General features: G+C 46.0%; 1 protein-coding gene and 1 long non-coding RNA gene across 12 annotated transcripts in view, besides 4 other annotated features; one reads left to right on the top strand and one right to left on the bottom strand.

Annotated features, from left to right (window-relative positions):
- Positions 5,828-6,308: a transcriptional cis regulatory region, noted in NCBI's record as "candidate enhancer chr6.239 targeted for multiplex CRISPR interference". NCBI's record gives its function as "positively regulates expression of the WRNIP1 gene with high confidence and the ECI2 gene with lower confidence in K562 cells {active_cell/tissue: K562}" and the evidence as "EXISTENCE:mutant phenotype evidence [ECO:0000015][PMID:30612741]".
- Positions 5,923-6,217: an enhancer, noted in NCBI's record as "tiled region #3383; HepG2 Activating DNase matched - State 9:DNaseU, and K562 Activating DNase unmatched - State 8:EnhW". NCBI's record gives its function as "activates a minimal TATA promoter and a strong SV40 promoter by Sharpr-MPRA in HepG2 and K562 cells {active_cell/tissue: HepG2 | K562}" and the evidence as "EXISTENCE:reporter gene assay evidence [ECO:0000049][PMID:27701403]".
- On the bottom strand, positions 10,342-23,649 carry LOC643327 (uncharacterized). Its single transcript, NR_147844.1, has 2 exons — positions 23,101-23,649; positions 10,342-10,466 (listed from the first exon to the last, which is right to left on the bottom strand). It is a non-coding gene; the product is annotated as an uncharacterized LOC643327 (long non-coding RNA).
- Positions 22,025-22,244: a silencer, noted in NCBI's record as "silent region_16854". NCBI's record gives its function as "represses an Ori minimal core promoter by ATAC-STARR-seq in GM12878 lymphoblastoid cells {active_cell/tissue: GM12878}" and the evidence as "EXISTENCE:reporter gene assay evidence [ECO:0000049][PMID:35858748]".
- SLC22A23 (solute carrier family 22 member 23) overlaps positions 22,302-24,639 on the top strand; it is a 188,078-nt gene continuing 185,740 nt past the window's right edge. For all 11 annotated transcript variants that reach the window (NR_168069.1, XR_001743575.2, XR_007059328.1 and 8 more), the window contains exon 1: positions 22,302-23,446. Coding sequence is in view for 8 of the 11 variants with exons in the window: in NM_015482.2 (NP_056297.1) it covers positions 22,793-23,446 (654 nt within the window). In the remaining 3 variants the exon portion in view is untranslated. The remainder of the gene's footprint in view (positions 23,447-24,639) is intronic.
- Positions 22,305-22,534: a silencer, noted in NCBI's record as "silent region_16853". NCBI's record gives its function as "represses an Ori minimal core promoter by ATAC-STARR-seq in GM12878 lymphoblastoid cells {active_cell/tissue: GM12878}" and the evidence as "EXISTENCE:reporter gene assay evidence [ECO:0000049][PMID:35858748]".

The raw sequence follows: 24,639 nt of genomic DNA, 5'->3' as shown, positions 1-24,639 counted from the left end.
TCTTTTGGAATGGGAATGTCCCTCCTATGCCTGTCCCACCATTGTATTTTAGAAACAGATAACCTGCGTGAGTTCACAGGTTTCAGCCAGAGAGGAATTTTGCCTCAAGATTCATCATCAAATCTCACTCATACCTGATTTAGATGATATTTAGATGAGCCTTTGGACTTTAGACTTTGGAGTTGATGCTGAAATGAGTTAAAACTTTTGGAGCTGTTGGGATGAAATGAATATATTTTGCATGAGATAAGAACATGAATTTGGGGGGCAGGGGTGGGATGCTAGAGACTGAATTGTGTCCCCCTAAAAAATTTGTATGTTGAAGCCATAGCCCCCAATTCGACTATATCTAGATATAAAGTTTTAAAGAGGTAATTAAGGTTAAATTAGATCATAAAGATTCATCCCTAATACAATAGAACTGTGGCCTTATAATAAGAGGAAGAAAGAGAGCTTTCTCTCTCACTCTCCTAGATAGGTGAGTTGGTGAGAAGGCAGCCACCTGCAAGCCAGGAAGAGGGCCTTCACCAGAACCTGACCATGCTGGAACCCTGGTCTTGAACTTCCAGCCTGCGGAACTGGGAGAAATTAATTTCTGTTTCTTAAGCCACCCAGTCAATAGTATTTTTTATGGCAGCCTGAGCTGACTACTAGAATCATGGCTGTGGGAAAGATGGAGTGGAGAAAAAGGTCACAAGCTGAGGAAGTCAAGGAGCTGAGAAGTCAGGGTATCAGTTGGGTCAGCCACATACACATCAAAGACACCAGAATAACAGTGGGACTGAGAGTGCTGATGACAAGGGGCAGTTGCCAAACACTTTAAAGCACAAATGAGGGGGACTGTCCAGGAGGGTGTCAGATGACAGCACCTCAGAGGGATAGGATGCATTCTCCCTGGGAGCTGCTGATGGAGGGAAAGAAGACAGGCTGCAGGACCCCAAGAGTGGGGTCCACAAGGGAACAAGGAGGTGAACAGCCCACCTCAAAGACAGATGACCTAAAAACATTTATACTGTATTGACTCCGCCACCCAGATACTTAGTTCAGTACACAAATGCCTCCCATTAAAAGCCCAAAATGTTTCTCTAAAGTTTCTCTGTGAAAAAGAGACTGTGAAAGTAGAGGCAATTATTAACACAAGTGATAGAACGTTACGAAAAAGAGAAGATGCCTAGGGGAGTGATGGCATTTCTGAATGTGGGGATTCACAAAGGGCTCCAGGTACATCCTTTGGGGATAATAATCTGATCTGCAACATACAGCAGATGAAAAGTGCATGAAATAGGGGAAAGAGGCACTGTCAAAGAAACTGACACAGTCATAGATTGCCACAATAATTGTACCAGATCAGAGGGAAGGCAGCCCAGCAGAGGGCAGGTGTTTGGGCACCTGGGAGTGAGTCCACTCACTTTCATCAGGAATCCCTGAGAAATTCCAAGGGAGTTAGCCAGTCCTCCAACCTCCCAGTGAGTGGGTACCAGTCAAAGTGGGCAATGCACTTAAAACCAGAAGACGATTAAGAAGTAAAGAGGACCGCATCAAGACTTGCCTCTATTTCTAACTGGAAGAATTTGCCAGCCCTTTAGGGCAGGGGTCTGACCCCTGGTTCCAGTCTGTGGTCTGTTAGGAACCAGGCCACACAGCAGGAGGTGGGCGGAGGGTGAGTGAGCATTACCACCTGAGCTCCGCCTCCTGTGAAATCAGTGGGGGCATTAGATTCTCACAGGAGCACAAACCCTGTCGTGAACTGTGCGTGCAAGGGATCCAGGTTGCATGCTCCTTATGAGAATCTAACGCCTGATGATCTGAGATGGAACAGTTTAATCCTGAAACCACCATCACCTCCCGCCCCCCGAGCCCCGTTCCATCAATGGGAAAATTGTCTACCGCAAAACTGGTCCACGGTGCTACAGAGGCAGCAGAAGCAGCTTCGTGTGGCCTATACCTAGGTTTTAATGCACTTAGGAATGACCTGGGGCTTGTGAAAATGTGGATTCTGATTCTGTAAGTCTGGGCGGGGGCCTGAGAATGTTCTTAATAGTTAAGAAAATTGTTAAGAAAACTGCAGTCAAGTTCACCCACAGTATTGTATTAATTCTTCTCCACTGATGCTTACTGTTTACAAAATCCTGAGTTACAGAGTGCATCTTTATCATTTCTTAAATAAGATAAAAGAAGCATAAGCCACAACAGAAAAAGATTGATAAGTTTGACAAAATGAAAATGTAATATTTTTATATAACAAAAGACAACAGAAACAAAGTTAAAGCCAGTATCAAGGACAAAAGGAGCCACAGATTGGAGGAATATATTTGTAATGCATGAAACTGATAGGGAATGAGTATTCCGGATACACAAAAATCCCTGCAAATCATTGTTTTTGAGAATGAACAATTAAAAATGACTTACATATTCACCAATAAGTAAACGAATGCATACATTTTAATAAATTCATAGAAATAATGCAGAAATAGATGTTCAAAATGAATACACTAGATCTCCAAATATCAACTGAGACAAGTCTTGAAAACATGGAACTGAGTGAAGTGTAAGCTGTAGAAAACTGTATGAAGTATTATTTGTATAAAATAGAAAACATTACTAAATGTTGATTATGTACACCTATGCATGGGTAGAGGAGATACACACCAGTATCAGAATGGGGGTTCTGCTGCAGAACAGGTGGGGCTGGGAGGAGGGAGGAGTAGAAAGGAATTTCCACCACAGTGTCAGAAATCATGGAGCAGGCTGGGTGCAGTGGCTCACGCCTGTAATCCCAGAACTTTGGGAGGCCAAGACAGGCAGATCGCTTGAGCCCAGTAGTTTGAGACCGGCCTAGGCAACATGATGAAACCCTGTCTCTACAAACAATACAAAAAATTAGCTGGGCATGGGCACATGCCTGTAGTCCCAGCTATTTGGGAGGCTGAGGTAGAAGGATCACCTGAGCCCAGGAAGTTGAGGCTGCAGTGAGCCGTGATCGTGCCGCTGCATTCCAGTCTGGTTAAAAAAGCAAGACTCAAAAAAGAAAACAGAAAAGAAATCATGCGGCAGATGTGGTTAGAAACCCACATTTGTCAAATCTGTATAGCAATTATTATTCTCTGAACTTTTCTGCATGTTCAAAATATTTCAGAGAGAGATTCTTTCAGGCATCTGGAACAAGGTGACCTGAGCCCCTTTCTGAGTCCTCCTGAGCTGCTTGCAGGTCCCTAAATGGCCTGGTAGGACTCCTTCCCTCCCCTCACTACTCAAAGTGAGGTTTGCCAACAGCCGCATCACCTAGCAGCATCTTGGAAATAAATGCACATTCTCAGGCCCCCGCCCAGACTTTCAGAATCTGCATTTTCACAAGCCCCGGGTCATTCCTATGTATATTAAAACCTAGGTAGGCTACACAAAACTGCTCCTGCTGCCTCTGTCCCTTCTGTCCACTGCCCATATTGTTACCTAGATAACTCCAAAGCCTCTACCTGGATGGAGTTTAAGGATTGCATGTTCTAAGACTGCTGTGAACCCCTATCTAGAGCAGGAGTTATCTGTGTATGCTGGACACTTTATTTTATCAAGATCTGAAACACTGTTATCAGCTGCTAACCAGACAGTGAATTCCATATTAGTCCCATTAACCTTTGGGGGGTTGTCCATCATCTTATAGTACACAGCACATGGCATGAGTTCAGTGAATCTTTTAAGAATAAATGAAGAATCCACATTTTTAAGACACTGGTAAGGCCATCATCCATACTAAAAATGTTCACTCAGGGAATGGAATGTTCTGATTCTGGAACACTTTAATACGTGGAATTAATTTCTTATTATCTTTTAAAGTTCTAAATCTAAAATAGATTAAATTTATTTAAAAATTATTGGCATTTTAAAAAACTGTGCATGTTTAACATTTTGTAGCAAAGTAGTATTTTTTATAGCACATCTTAATAAATTGATGTAAAAAATGTCTCCACTTCAGGAACTCTTAGTCTTTCAAGGACTCTTGGCCCCATTTGAAAGCCTAATGGCAGATAGAGACCTTTTCCCCAGACAAATGCACATAATCAGCAATACATAATTTCAGTTTTCACAAACCCCAGGCAAAGAGTATCTGCCCTAAATTCAACAAGGCTGTAGATGACCCCCTTATCTCACATCGTTCCAGAGTTTTCTACTGTGTCATGTGAATGAAGATGTGTCACAGAGAATCCCACCATATGACACCTTTCATAGCCACTCTTCATTCCTCTCGCTGTGAAAACAATCCCCCAAATTATGAGCAACTTAAAAAACTCTTATGAGCATTAACTAATAAAGTGGTGCTCAAAAGTGTTTCCTTGGCTGGGTGCAGTGGCTCACACCTGTAATCCCAGCACTTTGGGAGGCTGAGGCAGGTGGATCACGAGGTCAGGAGATCGAGACCATCCTGGCTAATACAGTGAAACCCTGTCTCTACTAAAAATAAAAAAAATTAGCCGGGCGTGGTAGCACGTGCCCGTAGTCACAGCTACTTGGGAGGCTGAGGCAGGAGAATCGCTTGAACCCAGGAGGCGGAGGTTGCAGTGAGCCAAGATCATGCCACTGCACTCCAGCCTGGGTGACAGAGTGAGACTCTGTCTCAAGAAAAAAGAAAAAAGTGTTTCCTTTTGAACGTGCCCCCCGGGTTTCCACCTGTGGATGTAGAAGACGGGAAGTCTAGAATCCATACTGCTGCTCAGAGGCCATCACACAGGGTACATGGGCCTGAGTGAGTGACCGCACTGCCCTCGTTAACTGGACTAAATAGTATTTTATCACATTTTGTTGTCGTTTTGTTGCTTTTTTTTTTTTTCTTGAGACAGTTTCATTCTTGTTGCCCAGGCTGGAGTACAGTGGCACAATCTCGGCTCACTGCAACCTCTGCCTCCCCAGCTCAAGTGATTCTCCTGCCTCAGCCTCCCCAGTAGCTGGGATTACAGGCGCATGCCACCATGCCTGTCTAATTTTTGTATTTTTAGTAGAGACGGGGTTTCTCCATGTTGGCCAAGCTGGTCTCGAACTCCTGACCTCAGGTGATCCACCCGTCTGAGCCTCCCAAAGTGTTGGAATTACAGGTGGGAGCCACTGCACCCGGCTCTTGTTGCTTTTCTTAAGAGACATTTAAAAATGCCTTGGTAGCAGGTAGAAAAGCAGCAGAAATATTTTATTCTATTTACAGGCACCATCAAACTACCACATGGTTTTAAATATAAACAACTACCAATAAACAAGTAACACCCACAGAAATCCAGAGCCAGGAGGAGACATCTGCATTAGGCTCTGGTGCTGAAAGAAGCCTCCATCACCAGGTCAAGTTTATTTGCCAAAAAGAGAAAAAATAAATAAGTCCACCACCCAATCCCTTCTGGAGCAGCCATCCTTTCCCCTCCCCCTCCACATTCAGTCACTGGAACTGGAAGTCACTTTCATGCCAAATAATAATGACGGCCAGGTGTGGTGGCTCATGCCTGTAATCCCAGCACTTGGGAGGCAGAGGCAGGCGGATCACGCGATCAGGAGATCGAGACCATCCTGGCTAACACAGTGAAACCCTGTCTCTGCTAAAAATACAAAAAATTAGCCGGGTGTGGTGGCACGTGCCTGTAGTCCCAGCTACTCGGGAGGCTGAGGCAGGAGAATCACCTGAACCCAGGAGGCGGAGGTTGCAGTGAGCCGAGATAGCACCACTGCACTCCAGCCTGGGTGACAGAGCAAGACTCTGTCTCAATAATAATAATAATAATAATAATAATAATAATAATAATAATAACGATACTAATTCATTATTAGTGTCATTTAACAAATAATGAATTTGCACCATTTTTAACTTTGCAAAGCTCTTTCACTTTTGTTAGTGTAGCATTTTAATTATGTTACCAGAAAGGAAAGAGTGAGCTGGAAGCTGGGCCGCCTTCCTTCACTCAGCCCCACAGCCCATCCCAAACCGCTCCAAACACAGCTCCTGCAGAGCACCCGCAGAAACCACCCACGTGTGTGTGTGTGTGTGTGTGTGTGTGTGTGTGTGTGTCTGAATTCATGCTGAGTCATGGGAGCCAGTGTTGTGCATTGTCTGGTTGGTGAGGAGCTCTCAGATGTTTGTGAAATGATCCCTGGGGGACATGAGTAAGCTCTTCCTAGACTCTGAGTGCTGAGGTCAGAGATTGATAGAAAAAGAATTAGAAATTTTGAAAAAGGCGTAGAAATTCCAAGCAGGGCAGAATTCCTAAGAGAGACTATTCTTTTTAAAATTACTGACTCTCTTTTGAGGACTCATATCATTAAGGATCTGGAGATAAAGAGAAACTTTGGATGAGTAATACTTTTATTTTGAATTTTAAATATTGCACTGATGTTTTTAAAATAAAGCAACCTCATCCAGATAATAGAAGTGCAAGATGAGCTTCCCATAGTGGAACTTGCTTCCACCAGTGGCTGGTTAACTACATTAATTGGTTAACTAACAGGGCAGCCAATTTGGTCCTTGATGGGATAGCTAGTTTCTCCTTGCTTCTTTCATTCACCATTTATTGAATGCTAACCCTTCATTCGCACCATTTACTAGGTGCTAAATGTGAAGGAAACACAGTTGGACCTTCCCAGAGCTTAATGTTTCATGGAAGAACTCAGAGAAAACCCATTTTAATAGATTTAAGCCATCTGTTTCCAGAGAGATGAAGCTGGGAAATGACCGTGTAACCCATCATCTGTGCAAGACAGGAAAATACCCTATTGTCAGCCATTTCATTACTGGTGAAACGAAGGTGTTCTACACAGATTCGGTTTGCAGGGAGGCAGCATGGAGAATGTACTGGCTGGGAACCAGAAGAATTGAGCTCTAGGACCGTATCACCCTCGAATAAACTCTTTTTCTTTTCTTTTTTTTTTTTTTGAGATGGAGTTTCACTCTTATTGCCCAGGCCAGAGTGCAATGGCACAACCTCAGCTCACCACAACCTCCGCCTCCTGGGTTCAAGTGATTCTCCTGCCTCAGCCTCTCACGTAGCTGGGATTACAGGCATGTGCCACCATGCCCAGCTAATTTTGTATTTTTAGTAGAGATGGGGTTTCTCCATGTTGATTAGGCTGGTCTCAAACTCCCAACCTCAGGGATCCACCCACCTTGGCCTCCCAAAATGCTGGGATTACAGGTGTGAGCCACCGGGCCCGGCCGCCTCTAATAAACTCTTAAATTTAGGTCAAAGGATTCCACTTTCCTAGGCCTGTTTCCTCTCCTAGAAATGGGGGGGTTCAGTAGATGGCTAGAGGCTCCATTTAGCTTCATTATTTGCTATCACTCAAAAACCTCACAGTCCTGAGAAAGGCAGCCATGATTAATTCCTCGTTGTCTTGGAAGAGAACTAGTTGTGGTGCACTAGCCAACACATAAGCAAGCTCAGCCCTTAGCCAGCGGCTGCCTTCCCTCTTCTACTGTGACTAACCACCACTGGACCTTAAGGCAGTTGTTGGAACCAGTAAAAAGAATGTTCCTCTCCTGGCCATAAGTACAAGTGGTTATTTGCAAAGCTACATAATGGCGTTAATTAGTGAGAGTTCACACTTGGGCTTAATGTAAACAGACTCTCCTAGTAACAGACAACTTCAAACAGTGAGGCTGAATTCCAGTGTAGACACTACCTAAGCAAGTGAAGAATCAATTTTGAGGGGAAAATTAGAGACTTTGGGATGGAGTCCAGAAACCATGGGGTGGGGTTCGGTCATCGGAGGAAGGAGAGGGGCCACCTGAATGATTTTCCCTGAGCAGCTGATAAGCATATTAATCTGGGCAACTGAAGATCCCTATCAAACTATTGATACAGCTGTGTTTGGCTCCAAGTGTGCTGAATCTGTGCCAGCTCTTCACAACCTGTGATCTAATGAGCTGAGGACAGGAACTGGGACCTGGCCCTTGCGTGCTCCTTTGAAGGAAGAAGGGAAGGAATCAAAAGTGGAGAAAAGAGGGCTGGGCGTGGTGGCTCATGCCTGTAATCCCAGCACTTTGGGAAGCAGAGGTAGGCGGATCACCTGAGGTCAGGAGTTAGAGACCAGCCTGGCCAACATGGAGAAACCCGGTCTCTACTAAAAATACAAAAATTAGCCGGGCATGGTGGTACGCGTCTGTAATCCCAGCTACTCGGGAGGCTGAGGCAGGAGAATCGCTTGAACCTGGGAGGCAGAGGTTGCCGTGAGCCGAGACCATGCCACTGCACTCCAGCCTGGGCGACAGAGTGAGACTCTGCCTCAAAAAAAAAAGAAAAAGAAAAAGAAAGAAAGAAAAGCGAGCCTACAGGAAGGGGACACCATTTCGACTTTGTTTTCTGGTTCTTTTACCTTACCCGTCTTCGAAAGCTAGGCCTATGAGACTAGCTACAAATATAAAACGTACCTTTACGGAGAGGACATATGGGCAAGGAATGATTTAAATTCTTAGCCAATTCCTCTTGGGGTTTAGACACATTGTCACTCTCGTTAAATGGAAATGTGAAGGATAAATTCTTAGCCAACATCAAAAGGAGTGGCGTTTGAAAGTAGCGATAGAGAAGAAAGCGGGCTCTCTCGCAGTCAGAGGCCTAATCTCACCCCACCTCCACACTGCACCCACCCGGATGAGGGTTCCTTCCTGGAAGCTTTCATGTGTCTCAGAAGAAAATAATTACCATCAGAGCCACTCGAAGAACAACAAAAGAAATCCTTCCTTCTTATTTTATAGTCACGGGTTATTTTAAACCCCAAATGGTATTTCTCAGTTTAATCGCTAAACTTGGTTTCAATTGACTTTTACTCAGTTTTCTTAAAGTCGAGAGCATAAAAAATTTCTCACAATTGAGACTATTCAAAAGAACGTGCGGCAGACTCCAAATGCAATATCAGGAAGAGGGGGCCAGAGGGGTTTAGACAATACAGCACCTTTTTCAGAAGTCTATTGTCCTCTGTGGAAGAGGTGAGAAATTTGTCTGTACAAGTCCAGGCTTGCTTGTATTAAAATATCTAATTTTATACATAACATTCTTATCTGATAGGCAGCATTAAGATCCTCTTAAAATGAACTAGGTGGAGGAAAAGGGCAAAACCATGATACACAGTCACAGGAAACAGTTTAGATTTTCCTTGATTGGATTCCTTCTGGAGAGAGATTCCCGAGGACCTCCAGAGCCACACCTGGCTCCTTTGATGACTTTCAAACTCGCTCCAGGCACCGATGGTGAATCCCTAAGGGGCCTCAAATAACGGTGGCTGTCGAATGAAAGGCCAAAGTAGTTTACCTGAGTGTCTAGTGAGTTCTGTTTCCAATAGTGGGGTTTTCTGAACATCTCACATAATGAAGACAGAGTGGAAGTTACAGAATTTTATACTCAAGAGGTTTTGAGTCTATCCCGGAACCCAAAGCAAAGGAGAGTCAGGCAACTTTATAAGAAGCCCTCACTGTCTAGGGGCCTGTTTTGTTCAGGGAATAAAGGCTAATGCTAAAATGATCCTCCTGACTTTGTAAATGATTTCCAGAGGGCTCAAGGGCTTAGGGATGGCTCCCGGGAGCGCGCAGTGGTTGACAGTACTGGCCTGAGGAGCTGGAAGTGGACATTTTCCTGGAGGGAAGTGATTTGGGATTTCCCAAGGTCACTGGTATTGGGGCAGAGAGGAAGCCAGTTCCAGAAGCAAAGGTATGAGTCAGAGAAGCCCACTGGGCCCAACTCTTGCTGAGAGGACAGGGAGAGGAAGGGGCAGTGGACATGCATCCGACTGGAGATGAGCCCTGTCAGATCTAGACATCTACCCCATGGAATCAGAAAGATCTGGCAGAAGTTTCCCACTCTTTCCATCTGGGGGAGATGGCTAACCGTAGTGGATGAGAGTCCCAAGCATTGGCATGAGACAGGTCTGAGTTTCTGTTTTGAATCCTGGTTCTGATACTGCATGACCTTGGGCAAGTTACTTAACATCTTTTAAGGTTTGTGTCACGCGCATCTGTATGAAGAGAGTCCACCAAACAGGCTTTGTGTGAGCAACAAGGCTGTTTATTTCACCTGGGTGCAAGCAGGCTGTGTCCAAGAAAGGAGTCAGCAAAGGGTGCTGGGATTATCATTAGTTCTTATAGGTTTGGGATAGGCGGTGGAGTTAGGAGCAATTTTTTATAGGCAGGGGGTGGATCTCACAAAGTACATTCTCAAGGGCGGGGAGAATATTACAAAGTACCTTCTTAAGGGCGGGGGAGTATGACAAAGTATATTATTGCAAGGGCGGGGAGGGGGTATTGTCATAAGGTCAATTGATCAGTTAGGGTGGGTAGGAACAGATCACAATGGTGGAATGTTATTTTTTGTGGTTCTTCATTTGCTTCAGGTCATCTGGATGTATATGTGCAGGTCACAGGAGATGTGATGGCTTAGCTTGGGCTCAGAGGCCTGACAGTTTGTATCCTCGTCTCCGTAATGGTGCAATGATCCTTCCTTCGCGTAGGGTACCTTAAGTGAGATGAGATATGTGGAAAGGTGATCGCGTGCTCAAGAAATGCTAGCTGTGAGGATTATTAAGGTTATTAGGAATGTGTCACGTTTCTGGTTCTGTCCAAGATGCAAAGCAACGTGTCTGCAGCAAGACAGGGCAAGCGGGAGAAGGTGGAGCCAGGACCTACCATTAGAGCTGCTGGGTGGATGAAAATAGGGGCTGCCCCTTGTGGGGGTTCTGTGGGGTGGACAGGACACTGCTGGAGTGTGGCAGGCCTTCACTCTTGCTGCCCTTTAGCCTAGGGGACCACCTAGAGGGCCGGATCTCCTGCCCCGGGGCAAGGCAAGGCATTCAGGACAGCACAGGTCTGGCCTGCAGACATTCGCTACCAGGAAGTCTGATCACAGCAGCAAATTCAAGCTCTGGGTCTATCGGTCTCTACTGTAGAATTATTTAGTAGAACTAATGGAATGAAATGTCCGCTGGGGATTCCAACCTCTTTTCTCTCTTTGATTGACAGTGGAATCTGGCCCCAGGTTTGTGGTGATGAGGAATCAGATAAACTCTATAGAGATGGTTTGAGTGGTTGGGGTCAGGATGACCACTTCTGATAGCAACTCAATCATACCGAATTCATTCACATTATCTCATTGGTTCCTCACACCAACCTGTGTGATGGGCAGTAACTCAGGTGTGATGATTATTCCCATTTTACAGATGAGGAAAGTAAGGCTGGCAGAAGTAATGGGACTTGTTCAATGTCACACAACCAGAAGGTTGTGAGGTCTGGGCAAAAATACAGGAGGTCTGACTTAGATGCTCCACCTTCCCCACTAGGTCCTGTGAGGTGTTTCTTTGGGCTTGAAACTTTATCCTTGTGAATGTAGGCTTTTATCTTTAGAAGCAGACAGTAAAATAGGGCTTCATGTGCAAGGAAGCAGGCAATGGATTTGGGGCTTTTGTTGTCCGTGCTCACCTGTCCCAGGTTAAGGGGGAACTAAACTCCCAGATACCTTTTTTTTTTTGGAGACAGAGTTTCACTCTTGTTGCCCAGGCTGGAGCGCAATGGTCCGATCTCAGCTCACTGCAACCTCTGCCTCCCAGGTTCAAGTGATTCTCCTGCCTCAGCCACCCGAGTAGCTGGGATTAGAGATGTGCGCCATCACCCCCAGCTAATTTTGTATTTTTAGTAGAGACGGGGTTTCTCCGTGTTGGTCAGGTTGGTCTCCAACTCCCGATCTCAGGTGATCCACCCGCCTCAGCCTCCCAAAGTGCTGGGATTACAGGCGTGAGCCATCGCACCTGGCACACTCCCAGCTACTTCTTACTGTCTTGGCAAATCAACCAAGACAGTAGTAATTAAAAAGCAATGCTTTGAAAAACAGGTCTAACGTTGGGGGCTGATAGAAGTAAAAGCCCTTGAAGCCGTCCTCCTTTCCCCAGTCTCCAGACCCCCAAACTAAATAAAGAGCCCGGAGGGAATGTGGACAAAGCAGGGAAGTCAGGCCCTACAGTGTGACTTTGGCCAGGAAGGGTTTGAAGCGCCCTGCATCCCAATCACATCATGCTGGGTCATGTTAATAGCAAATCTTGGTATTTTTCGTTACATGAGCTAATCAAGTTCCTTTTTTGCATAAGCCAGTTTACCCTGAGTTTTCTATAATTTGCATGTGAAAAAATACTGATGCCGATGCACTCACGGTACAGGTAATTTCCTGTAGATTTCTTGCCATGAAGTATGAAAACCTAATATGCCACCTAAAACTAATTTTCAGGCAATGACATGTAAAGTATTCCCTGTAGCTTCAGACTCACTAACCAGCATACTGTGCCTTCTCCCCATTGTTGCTGTGTCCTCAGAGAATGCGAGCATTATTCAAATATCCTAAAGTCATAAGCTGTTCCTTGCCAGCTCAGATGATGCTCTTCCCAGCCCTGCTTTCTTTGTTCTATCAGCGGCCATAAGGACAATTTTTGGTGTCCACCATAAGGATTGGTGATCCACAAGGTGTCATTTTCAAAAAATGAGAAATGGTTTATCATACAACCCATCAATCCTACTCCTAGATATTTATGCAAGAGAAATGAAAACACATTCTACACAAAGAACCCTATATGAAGGTTTCTAGCAGCTTTGTTCATAGTAGCCCCAAACTGGAAGCAACCACAATGTCCATTAACATGAGAATGCATGACAAGCTAGGGGCTATGCCTACAGTGAGACACTGCTCAATGACAAAAAGGTATAAAATGTGGATACAGCAACCACATGGGCAAATCTCACAAGTGTTATGCTAAGTGAAAGAAGCCAGGCGCAAGAGAGTGTGAGCTGCCTCGTTCCATTTATTCCAAGTTCTAGAACAGGAAAAACTAACCTGTAGTGAGAGAAGGCCTAGGGTGGTGTGTAGGGGGCTGGCTGCAAAGAGGCACAACAGATCGTTTTTGGGGAGGGTGAAATGCTGTGTGTCTTGATTCAGGAGATGGTTTCAAAGGTGTACACATCACTGAACTGTACATTTAAAATGTATGTATGTAAATTATACCTCAATAAAGTCATTTTTTAAAGGTGAGGTATTTTGGGGTTTTCTTAACTTCCCTTTAAAACTTGTAATGTTGCTGGGCGCAGTGGCTCACGCCTGTAATTCCAGCACTTTCGGAGGCTGAGGCAGGCAGATCACCTGAGGTCGGGAGTTCGAGACCAGCCTGATCAACATGGAGAAACCCTATCTCTACTAAAAATACAAAATTAGCCAGGCATGGTGGCACATGCCTGTAATCCCAGCTACTCGGGAGGCTGAGGCAGAAGAATCCCTTGAATCTGGGAGGCGGAGGTTGCAGTGAGCAGAGATCATACCATTGCACTCCAGCCTGGGCAAAAATAGCGAAACTCCATGTCAAAAAAAGTAAATAAATAAAATAAAATAAAACAAAACTTGTAATGTTTATACTTAAAATAGCATTATCCAATTTTCCTCTATAAATACTATAAGTAAATCATATTACGGAAATGCCGTGTACCAACTACCACAAGCAAGCACATCTGGTTCCTACCTTCGCGTTTCATTCTCGCTATTCCTTTTATTTGGAATATACTGTTCCCTCTTCTCTCTCTGGCAGAATCCTATATCGCATCCCATCCTTCCTTTGTTCGTTCATTCAGCAAATGTTTATTGAATGCCAGGCCCTGTGACCGGCAGTGGAGCTACCGAGACGTACAAATCTAGTAGGTGCTTTAGGGACACCTACTAGAAAGTGGAGTTTTACTTGAATGCCCTTGGATTTCTATTCCAAGCATTTTCTGGCCGATAAAAAGACTCTGTCAAAGACTGTTAACCTGGAGGCTCCAGTCTGCTCTGTTACATTACCTAAAAGTAGGCTGGTTATTCCATACACATGTATTTCACAGCCTCCCCTAAAGGTTCTATGTTAACTTTTAAGAAATGGAATCATTGATAAAGTTAACAAGGCAGAAGAAAAAGCTCTAAGAAACCAAAGAAAAATTGGCTTAAATGTATTTCTAGGTCAATGATGAAAACAAAATAGAATATGGAAATGTAAACACAAATGGAACAAGAGAACTTTAAAATAAAAAGTGATAGTTACCATGTGTCTCAGGGCTGGAGGACCACCTGGCCTTGCTGGCCTCTTACACCAGAGCCTGGGCCATAGCTCATAATTTTGCTGATATTGGCATCTTTTAACTTTGGAGTGTTTTTAAAAATCAGTTACTATAACAAGCTCTCATTAAAATTTATTTTTCAGCCAGGCACGGTGGCTCATGCCTGTAATCCCAGCACTTTGGGAGGCCAAGACGGGCGGATCACCTGAGGTCGGGAGTTCGAGACCAACCTGACCAACATGGAGAAACTAAAAAAAAATATATATATATACAAAATTAGCCAGGTGTGGTGGCACATGCCTGTAATCCCAGCTACTCGGGAGGCTAAGGCAGGAGAATTGTTTGAACCCAGGAGGCGGAGGTTGCAGTGAGCCAAGATGGTGCCATTGCACTGCAGCCTGGGCAACAAGAGCAAAAAAAAACCTCCGTCAAAAAAAAAAAAAATTATTTTTCAATCATTTGAATTTTTGTGTCCCTCTCATCAACTTTCGGTTTCAAACCATTAAACCTTTTCTTGATTAAAAAAGTCATCACATCTGGGTGCAGTGGCTCACGCCTATAATCCCAGCACTTTGGGAGGCCAAGGCGGACGGATCATTGGAGGTCGGGAGTTCGAGACCAGCCTGACCAACATGGAGAAACGCCATCTCTACTAAAAATATAAAATTAGCCGGGCATGGTGGCACATGCCTGTAATCTCAGATACTCAAGAGGCTGAGGCAGGAGAATCACTTGAACCCGGGAGGCAGAGGTTGAGTTGAGCTGAGATCGTGGCATTGCACTCCAGCCTAGGCAACAAGAGCGAAACTCTGTCTAAAAAGAAAAAAAAAGTCATCATAGAGATAAAAACCTATACAGAGAGAAATTACTGATTGTATTAGTTCATTCTCACATTGCTATAAAGAAATACCTGAGACTGGGCAAATTATAAAGAAAAGAGGTTTAATTGGCTCACAATTCCAGAGGCTGTACAAGCGGCAGGATGGGCATCTGCTCAGCTTCTGGGGAGGCCTCAGGAAGCTTACAATCACGGTGGAAGGCAAAGAGGGAGCAGACACTTCACATGGCCAGAGCAGGAGCAAGAGTCGGGGTAGGGGTTCGGCTTCTGCTATGTTCAGAGAAGCCCAAAACACATTTTGGGTGGAGGGGTTGCCACACACTTTTAAACAAACAGATTCCAAAAGAGAACTCACTATCTTTTTTTTTTTTTTTTTTGAGGCAGAGTCTTGCTCTATCACCCAGGCCAGAGTGCAGTGGCGCTATCTGGGCTCACTGCAAGCTCCACCTCCCAGGTTCACGCCATTCTCCTGCCTCAGCCTCCCGAGTAGCTGGGACTACAGGCGCCCGCCACCGCGCCCGGCTAATATTTTGTATTTTTAGTAGAGACGGGGTTTCACCGTGTTTGCCAGGATGGTCTCGATCTCCTGACCTCGTGATCTGCCCGCCTCGGCCTCCCAAAGCGCTGGGATTACAGGCGTGCGCCACCGCGCCCGGCCCCAGAGAACTCACTGTCTTGAGGACAGCATTAAGGGGATGGTGTTAGACCATTACTGAGAAACCGCCCCCATGACCTGGTCACCTCCCACCAGGCACCACCTCCAACAGTGGGGATTACAATCTGATGTGGGATTTGATGGGGAAACATATCCAAACCATATCACTGATTTAGAACTTGAAATGAAATATTAATGTTTGAGATGTCATTTTTTTTTTTACAAAAGTAAACTTTTAATTTTAGAATAGTTTTAGACTTATAAAAAATATTACAAAGATAGTACAGGGAGTTCCCTCATACCTCACACTCAGTTTGCCTTCTTACCATCTTACATTAGTCTGATACATTGTCACAACTGATGAATCAGTATGGATACATTATTATTAATCTAGGTCCACTGTTTAGTGCAATTTCCTTAGTTTTTCCTTAACATCTTTTCCTGTTCCGAGATCCTATCCAGCATATCCCATTACATTTTGTCATCCTTTCTCCTGTAGGCTCCATTTGGACATGACACGTTCTCAGACTTTCCTTGTTTTTGATCACCCAGACAGTTTGAGTACTGCTCAGGTATTTTGCAGACTGTCCCTCAGTAGGAATTTGTTTGATGTTTTCCTCATGGTTAGACCAGGTTATGGAGGTTATGGGAGAGGTAAAGTGCCATTCTCACCGTATCATATCAGGGGTACACAGCGTCAGCATGATTCATCACTGTTGATGCTAACTTTGATCATCTGGCTGAAGCAGTGCTTTTCACTGTAAGAGTTTTTCCACTGTAACCTTATTTTTCCCCGTTTCCACGCTCTTTGGAAGGAAATCAATACGTGCAGCCCCCACTTAAGGAGCGAGGACTTATACTCCTGCTTGAGGGCTGAGTATCCACATCAATTATTTGAAATTTTCTGCATGGGAGATCTATCTCTTCTTCCTCATTTATCCAATCATTTATTTTTCACATACAGACACACAGTATAGATTTTATAATTTGGGTTATTTATTATTCAATAGCACTTTATTTTTTGCTCAAATGGTTCCAGCTTTGGACTTTGGGAGCTCTTTCATTTGGCTCCTGTGTCCCTTTCGCACACCCCATAATTGTGTGGGTGGAGGGGTGTGGAGGTGTTCAGCTCTTCCTTACTTCCCGGCACTATACAAAATGCCCCAGGATCACCTTGTAGATTTCCTGCCCCATCCTAGAATCAACCATTTGTCTCCAAGGGGTCCTGGTTCCTTATATTGGAGAATGGTATTAGATACCAAGATCTGGGTGCTAGGTGTGCTTGTTGATACTAGGGTGTTAAATCACCTTATAAATAGAAAAAGTGCTTTCCTCAAAGTTCAAAATTCAAAACCTTAAAAATACTGTTAACTTAGAATGTTTTAGTGACTTTATCCATATATTTACATGTATTTTGCTATAGGAACGATAAATTTTAATTCAAAGCCCTCTTAGATGGCCTAGAATTTGGACTGAAAATAATATGCATACACAGCCATTTTTTTAAATATGAAAAGTCATTTATGACTATCTAATGGTAATAAATTCAAACCAGCCTTATTAAAGAAAGAAGTTAAATAAACCAATGTCTTGGTCAAAACAGCTTACCTCAGAAAGTATACTCTGGGTCTAATAATCTGCCTCCTTCAGGAATATTCATTCCTCTTGTTGCCCGCTAGCTTCCAGTCATAAAAAAAAATCCGTTTAATAACTTTAGATTTGGTTACATCCATCTGTGTGTTTTTCTTCACCTCCATTTAGAATTAGTAGGAAAAGCATTAGAACAAAAGGGTTGTTTAAAGAACATTAGTTTATCTCATTTGAAAAGTGAAACTTCTTTCATGTAAGCTCTGGTTACTTCATTGTTCTTTCCACAAGCCCTTCTAACAATGATTATCTGCAGTTTGCCCACCCACTGTCAAGAGCTCAGCATCCATACTTGAAACTCAAGCTTCATATGCCAACTTTGGGATGATTCTCATCAAACAGAAGAGGCTGTTTCCATGCTGGAATAAAACATATAATATTCACTTATAAGTCTTGGCATTGTGTTATTTTCGTGTGTGTGTGTGTGTGTGTGTGTGTGTGTCAAAGAACATTTTTTTTTCTTTTTTGAGATGGAGTCTTGCTCAGTCACCAGGCTGGAGTGCAGTGTGGCATGACCTTGGCTCACTGCAACCTCTGCCTCCCAGTTCAAGCGATTCTCCTGCCTCAGCTTCCCGAGTAGCTGGGACAATAGGTGCGCACCACCATGCCTAGCTAATTTTTGTATTTTTAGTAGAGATGGGGTTTCACCATGTTGGCCAGGATGGTCTTGATCTCCTGACCTCGTGATCCCCTCGGCCTCCCAAAGTGCTGGGATTACAGGCGTGAGCCACCGTGCCTGGCCCAAAGAACATTCTTAAGTACAGTAAGACAAAGATGACATCTATGATTTTCATCAAACAAAAGCCAACATCAAATTTTAGATCGATTTGCTTCACTAATTTTTTTAATTCAATAAAAGACTTCAAAATTAAATTTTGACCAAACTTTGAAAGTAACTGGGCCCTAGCCATCACATTTACAATGGAGTAGCTTTTTGCATAGAAGTCTTATCTTCACTTTTTCTGTTTTCACTTGGCCTTTTGATGAATTTGTCTTGTACTAGATGAGTAGGTAGTTTTTCTCAAGATACTACCTGTAACTTTCCTTAGGATAGATTATGTGACATTTTTATTACTTCTGTCACTTAACCAAAGTAGCTTTTTCATTTTCATTTATGATAGGTTTTGTAAATGTCAAATTTCTTGTTAAAGAGTCAGACTTGATATTCCAAAAGGCAAAGGATGATATAAATAATATTCAAGTATACACAACTAGAGTTGGAAATAATTTCAATCACTTTCTCCCACCCTCCCAAAATCAAGGTAACCTAATTTTCAAATAGTTATTTGAAAGGAAGAAATCAAGCTGCAGTTTAAAAAAAAAATGACACAGGATATTCTAAAATGTGATATATCTATCTATAATTCAAGTATAAAGACCATGAATAATCAGAGAAACCAACGTGAAATACATTTGGTATGACTTGCAGCGTACATTTAAAGTTAATTAACCCTGACTTGAATTCCTTAGAATTAACTTTTACAGAATTATAGAGGATTTAAAATTAGGTTTCCATCAATTTTAGAGGTAAGCTAAAACATTTTTTCTCCTGTTATCTCCAAGGAAATAAAACTGTTCAAATGTATTGGTGATTAGGTTATGACTTTCATTTCCTTTCCTTATTTTCTCAATTTTTAGAAAACTATAAACTGGTAGATTCTTTAACATACTTTCAAAGGAAAAGGGAATGACTCAGCTTCTTTATTAAGATCACTGGGTTCAGGATACTCACATAAATTTAGGGTCACAAACACAGCTACTTTTGGGGGCCAAATGTCATGCATGAGGGGCATGTGTCAGGCAGGGATGAGGGCAAGCTGGAGAGTGCCTGCTCATTTACTGCAGTCCAAGAAAGCACGGTCCTGCAAACATGGGGCATCAAAAGGACAATGGCTTCTGCTATGATGTTCAGAGAAGCCCAAAACACATTTTTTTCTAAGTATTCAATCTCCCAATTTTGAAATGTTAGCAATTATTTTCCTGAAAACATTGCCTATGGTCTGTGAGCTGCATTTGGCCTATAAGCCACCATCTGCAAGCCAATACTGCCCAAGAGAAGATAATATTGGGAGCTAATCCAGTAACCACAATGCCTTACAACAAGACATATAATTGTCAAATTCATTTCAAGTCTCATGTTGGCTGATCTGAGCACCATCTTTGAGAGATGAACAAACACAAAAAGGTTGCTTGATGATTTAAGAAACAAAGTAAACAGTTTGATGATTTGAATAGACAGTATCATCAAGTGATTAATAACTTGATACACTCATTTATTTGACAAAGATGTATTGAGTGCCTTGCATGTACCAGGCACTGTTTTAACCACCAAGCATACAGCTGAGCACAAGGCACCTATCCCCGAAGGTGCTTACATTCTAGAGGCAGAACGTAAATCTAACTAAGCAAACAAGAAAAATAGCAGCTGATGATAATGCTCATTCAGAAAATTAAAAACAGTAATTTTTTAACAGGTGTCTGGCTTTCCTATCCTGGTCCATGGATCTCAAACCTCACCCACTGAGGCTGTCAGAGTGTCAAATTCTTCCTCTTTACTCCTTTTGCTCACGTTATGAGATCACTTGTGGTATGTTTTAATAAATTGAAGGCCACTTTATTTTAAAGTAGTTACACTTTAATCTTCTTGACTAGATTTGGTGGAAATATCAATCCAGGAGGAATTTAGGGAAACCTCTAATCTAATCAACAGCTTAATTACAATGCCTGGGTCAGTGCTGCAGCTAGTTAATTTCAAACATTTTATGTTGCCTCCTTTTAGCTTCAGTTTTAGAGGATACCATTTTCCAGTGTGTCCCTAAATTCTAAGAATGTACCATTTGAGGATTTTTACCACCTTTTGCGAACAAAGACTAATAACATCTTCACAATGAAACTCTTTTCCTAGGGCCAGGGCTTCTCCCACGTAAAAATGCACATTAACAAACATCTTTGTAAACTCTTCCCTATAGTTGCCCCTGTATGATGAAATGGAGAAATCCGGTAATGTCCAGTCAGAAAATCTGGGTTCAAAACCAGATATTTGGCTCAGCTGGGGACCAACTCTTTGATCTGGTAGTCAGTCACCTGATCCTTGCTGTTTCTCTTTGAAAGCCCACTTCTTGGGGCGCTGAATGTGAGGACTGAGTGAGAGTGTGAATTTGAAAGCCAACTCTGAAACGCTGGCTATGATAGTTATTCTGATTGGAAGGGCCATTAAGGTCAATGGCAATGCTCCTTTTGTGATCAGTTACAAGAAAACAAATGGGTCCTTGTGACTGTGGGGGAAGGGAGGCAGAGCCAGACACAAAGTGGACCTCTTCTGGAAAATCAGCCACTGAAAGGAAAATAAATAAAATCCGTAAAGTTATATTTCAATTCAAAAAGAAATGTGGATTGTATGTAATGGCAAGAGGAGCACTGGTAATAATACATGTCTAACATTCATTGCGCACTTACTCTGTTCCAGGCATGGAGGTCAGAACTTTGCATGTATTAGCTCTTCAAATGAGGGGAGGAGAGGGAAGGAAAAGAAAAGTTAAGCTAATAAATAATGTGAAGTTGAAAAATTACCACGTACACAACGTGCACTATCGTGTCCCCCCCCGCCCCAAGCCCCCAGCTCTTTATATATGTGGTTTCCAGACCCATTTCTCAGCGGTCTGGTGTCTTTTGCAGCCCTTAGGGCCCCTTCCGCCCATTGTTATCTAATCACCCCTTCTCGGCCACGCAGGAAGGTCCACAACCTCCCCTGTCCCCCAAGACCCGCCCCCCGGCAGCCTTCAGAAATAGTTCTCTGGTACGTATGTGCCAGCATTTTATGCAGTAAACACATGTTGCCCTTAACACTGAACTGCAGGTTAAAAATGTATTCCACTAAATTGTGCAGCGGTTAGCTGAGCAAATAATGAAAATGCAAAAGAATACATTCAGTATATGGAGCTTAGAATATATCCTTTTGGAAAGCTAAACATTTTTTTTTTTTTTGCCCCAAATAAGACTAGAAATGGATTGCTCCATTTAAGACTTCCATTAATAAACTTCTCAGAATATGAAATGCCTCCAAAATGTGGGGACGCTGGGTTGAAAGGTGCCGGATAATTCTCTTTGGTGCGTGCGCTGGGTGCAGGAGGAAATATGCTAATGTAGCCGTTTGCCGCAGGGCTGGTGTTATTTATACAGCGCTGGCTGGGCAAGGTTGGCGCTGGAGCAGGAGAGGAGGGAGAGGTTTGTCTTCTTGTGTGAGAGTATAGATGTGTGCGCCTGTGCACACGGCGTTCCAAACGTGAATACAAGATCTTAGGGAGGGGGTGGGGAATGCCATCACGTTTATACTGTGTGTATTATAACTTGTGTTGGAGATATATCCCAGCATCGTGCTTACATCGCATGCACTTAGGAGTGGGGGAAGAAATGGCGATTTGGGAGTGGGTGCGGCGGGTCGCAGGTGGCCAGACACTGCGGGGGACTGGCGACCTGAAATTGGCAAAGGCGCCTCCTTGACCCTGCTCCACGGACACAAAAATCAACCTTATTCGCTCCTGGAAAAAGCGCAGAGGGTTGTTCCCGAAGGCTGAAGACCCTCGGGCTTGGGACTGGGAGCGGGGCGCGGGCAGCGGGACCGCCGGGCACCTCTGAAGAGACAGAGGTCACGGAGACCTGGCGCGCGCGGAGTGGGTGGGGGGCCCGCGCGGCTGCGGGAGCCCAGCCTCAGAGAAGACCCGGCCCACACGTTCTCAGCGCACGCCGACTTTGCCGGGACCCGTCGCCGGCCGGCGACCCCTGCTACGCGCGTCTCCTCCTCCCCCGCCCCGCCCGGCGCGAAACGGGCAACGGGCAGGGGATCCTCCAGCCAGGCGGGCCCGGGGTGTCCCGTTTCCCCCGCCCCCCTCCCGTGGATCCCGGGCGGCGGCGGCCGCGCGTCCGGGCTGGAGGGGGCGCTCGCGAGCAGGAGCCGAGCGCAGCAGGTGCCGCGGTTACCTCCACCTCGGCGGGGGGAGAGGGGGCGGGCCGGGGGGCAGGGAGGAGGGGGAGGAGGAGGAGGAGGAGGAGGAGTGGGGCCGGCTCCAGGAGCTGGAGAGCGCGGCCGGCTCGGCAGGCTGGGTCCAGAGCTCGCGGCTTCCGGGAGGCGCCCGAAGTCGGAGAAATACAGCGCGGCCACCCCGGGAGCAGCAGCCTTTGCCCGCACCGCCGCCCGCAGGGCCCTGAACCGCCGGCAAGGGCGCGGGCCGGGCGCGGCGCCGGCTCCTCCTCCTGCCGCGTCCGGCGCGGAGCAGCGGAGAGCGGCGGGCTCGGCAGCCGGCGCCCGGGCCGCGGAACTGATGAGCCGCGGCGGCTGAGGGCCCGGCCGGCCTCTGCCCGCCTCTGCCCGGCGCCCGAGCGGGGCCGCAGCGCCCGGGGCGCGGGGTCCGGCGGGTGACATGGGGGCGGCCTGACGCACCCGGAGCCGCCGAGCGCTCTCTCTCGAGCCGCGGGCCCTCCTCGGCGGCAGCGGCTGCAGGCGCCTGGCCCGGCGCGCTGTGCCCGGGGCGCCCGCGGAGCCTCCGCCGCGCTCTATGCGCCTCTGCGGGAGCCGCGGGCCCGGGCCATGGCCATAGACCGGCGGCGCGAGGCGGCGGGCGGCGGGCCTGGGCGGCAGCCGGCCCCGGCCGAGGAGAACGGCTCCCTGCCGCCCGGGGACGCGGCGGCCTCGGCGCCCCTCGGGGGACGCGCGGGCCCCGGCGGCGGCGCGGAGATCCAGCCGCTGCCCCCACTGCATCCTGGAGGCGGCCCGCACCCGAGCTGCTGCTCCGCGGCTGCGGCCCCGAGCCTCTTGTTGCTGGACTATGACGGGTCGGTGCTGCCCTTCCTCGGGGGCCTGGGCGGGGGCTATCAGAAGACCCTCGTGCTGCTCACCTGGATCCCGGCGCTGTTCATCGGCTTCAGCCAGTTCTCGGACTCGTTCCTCCTGGACCAGCCCAACTTCTGGTGCCGCGGGGCCGGCAAAGGCACCGAGCTGGCAGGGGTCACCACCACAGGCCGGGGCGGGGACATGGGCAACTGGACCAGCCTCCCCACCACCCCCTTCGCCACTGCCCCCTGGGAGGCTGCGGGCAACCGGAGCAACAGCAGCGGCGCGGACGGAGGCGACACACCACCCCTGCCATCCCCTCCGGACAAGGGGGACAACGCCTCCAACTGTGACTGCCGCGCATGGGACTACGGCATCCGCGCCGGCCTCGTCCAGAACGTGGTCAGCAAGGTAAGGGCCGCAGCCGCCCAGTCCCTCCAACCCTCTCCCTGCAGACCGAGGTCCAAGCCCGAGCCAGCGGGAGAACCGAAGTCCCCAAAGTGGTGGTGCTAGAGTGTGTGTAGGGCATTCCGCATTGGCTTAATCTCCTTCCGTCCCCCAAACCACATGCCTTTACTTGGGTGTAAAGGGAGCACCATAGCCTTTACTAGTTTGCACCCAAACTCCTGTCCCAGTACGCGGATGGAAAGCGCGCCCTTCCCCCACCCTCGGGGCGAGGCAGCTGACCTGTCACCAGCCCCCTCTGGAGGAGTCGGACTGGCGTCGTTCAAGGTCTGCTGGGGGAGTCGGGACCACAGCCCTGTTCTGCCCGGCTAGTTGTCCCTGGGTCTCCCACAAAGCAATAGTCTTCCATCTCGCACTTGATTTTGACACAGGTAAAGCCTACTAAAGAACTGGAGAGCCAGAGAAGCAAAGACTCCTGCAAATCCCCAACCCGCAGCCGATGCTTAGTCCTCCCCAAAGATATCTGACTTTAGGCTTTGCTACCCCAGTGTCTCCTCCCATGTTTTCTCAGCACTTCAGTAAACATCACTACAGTATAGGAAGGACGCGGAGAATATGTCATTTGGGTGTTCCCCGGCCGTCACCGCTCTTACACAGCAGCTGCTTTGGGCTGAGGCACTGAGAACGGGGGTGTGCTTTAGCTGAAACATGCACCTTGTCCTCTGAGTCCTGTAGCTAAAGCTCCCTTGCAGAGGTATTGCGTGGTGTGAAATGTAGCAGAAGGGAGTTGTGAGACAAGTGTGAAGGCCTAAACACAGAGTGGGCAATGGTGGACACTCAATGCCCCTAGACAGCTGTAATTTTATTCTTAACATATAAGAGATATCAAGACATTTGTAGTTTTGCTCCTTGTGTCTAAACTAATTAATTCACATTTTAAAGTAAATACAGACTCTCCTCCACCCCACCCGCTACCCATTCTGGGCTGTTCTGGCAGAGTTTTAAATGCTTTGTCGAAATGTATGAAATTGGACAGTTTTAAATAGTCAATGTGCATGTAACCTCCTCCCCCCGTGTGCATTGGTTAACAGTTGTAGCTCATGGATGTGTAAGATAAACTCTTACATCATCATAATCATTGTTTTAATCTTGTACCAACCTGGCCAGAAATGCTCTGTCCTGTGGGAACTGTCTGACTG

Source organism: Homo sapiens, chromosome 6 (assembly GCF_000001405.40).
Source record: "Homo sapiens chromosome 6, GRCh38.p14 Primary Assembly".
Lineage (NCBI taxonomy): Eukaryota > Metazoa > Chordata > Mammalia > Primates > Hominidae > Homo > Homo sapiens.
This window is presented reverse-complemented; position numbering and strand designations above follow the sequence as displayed.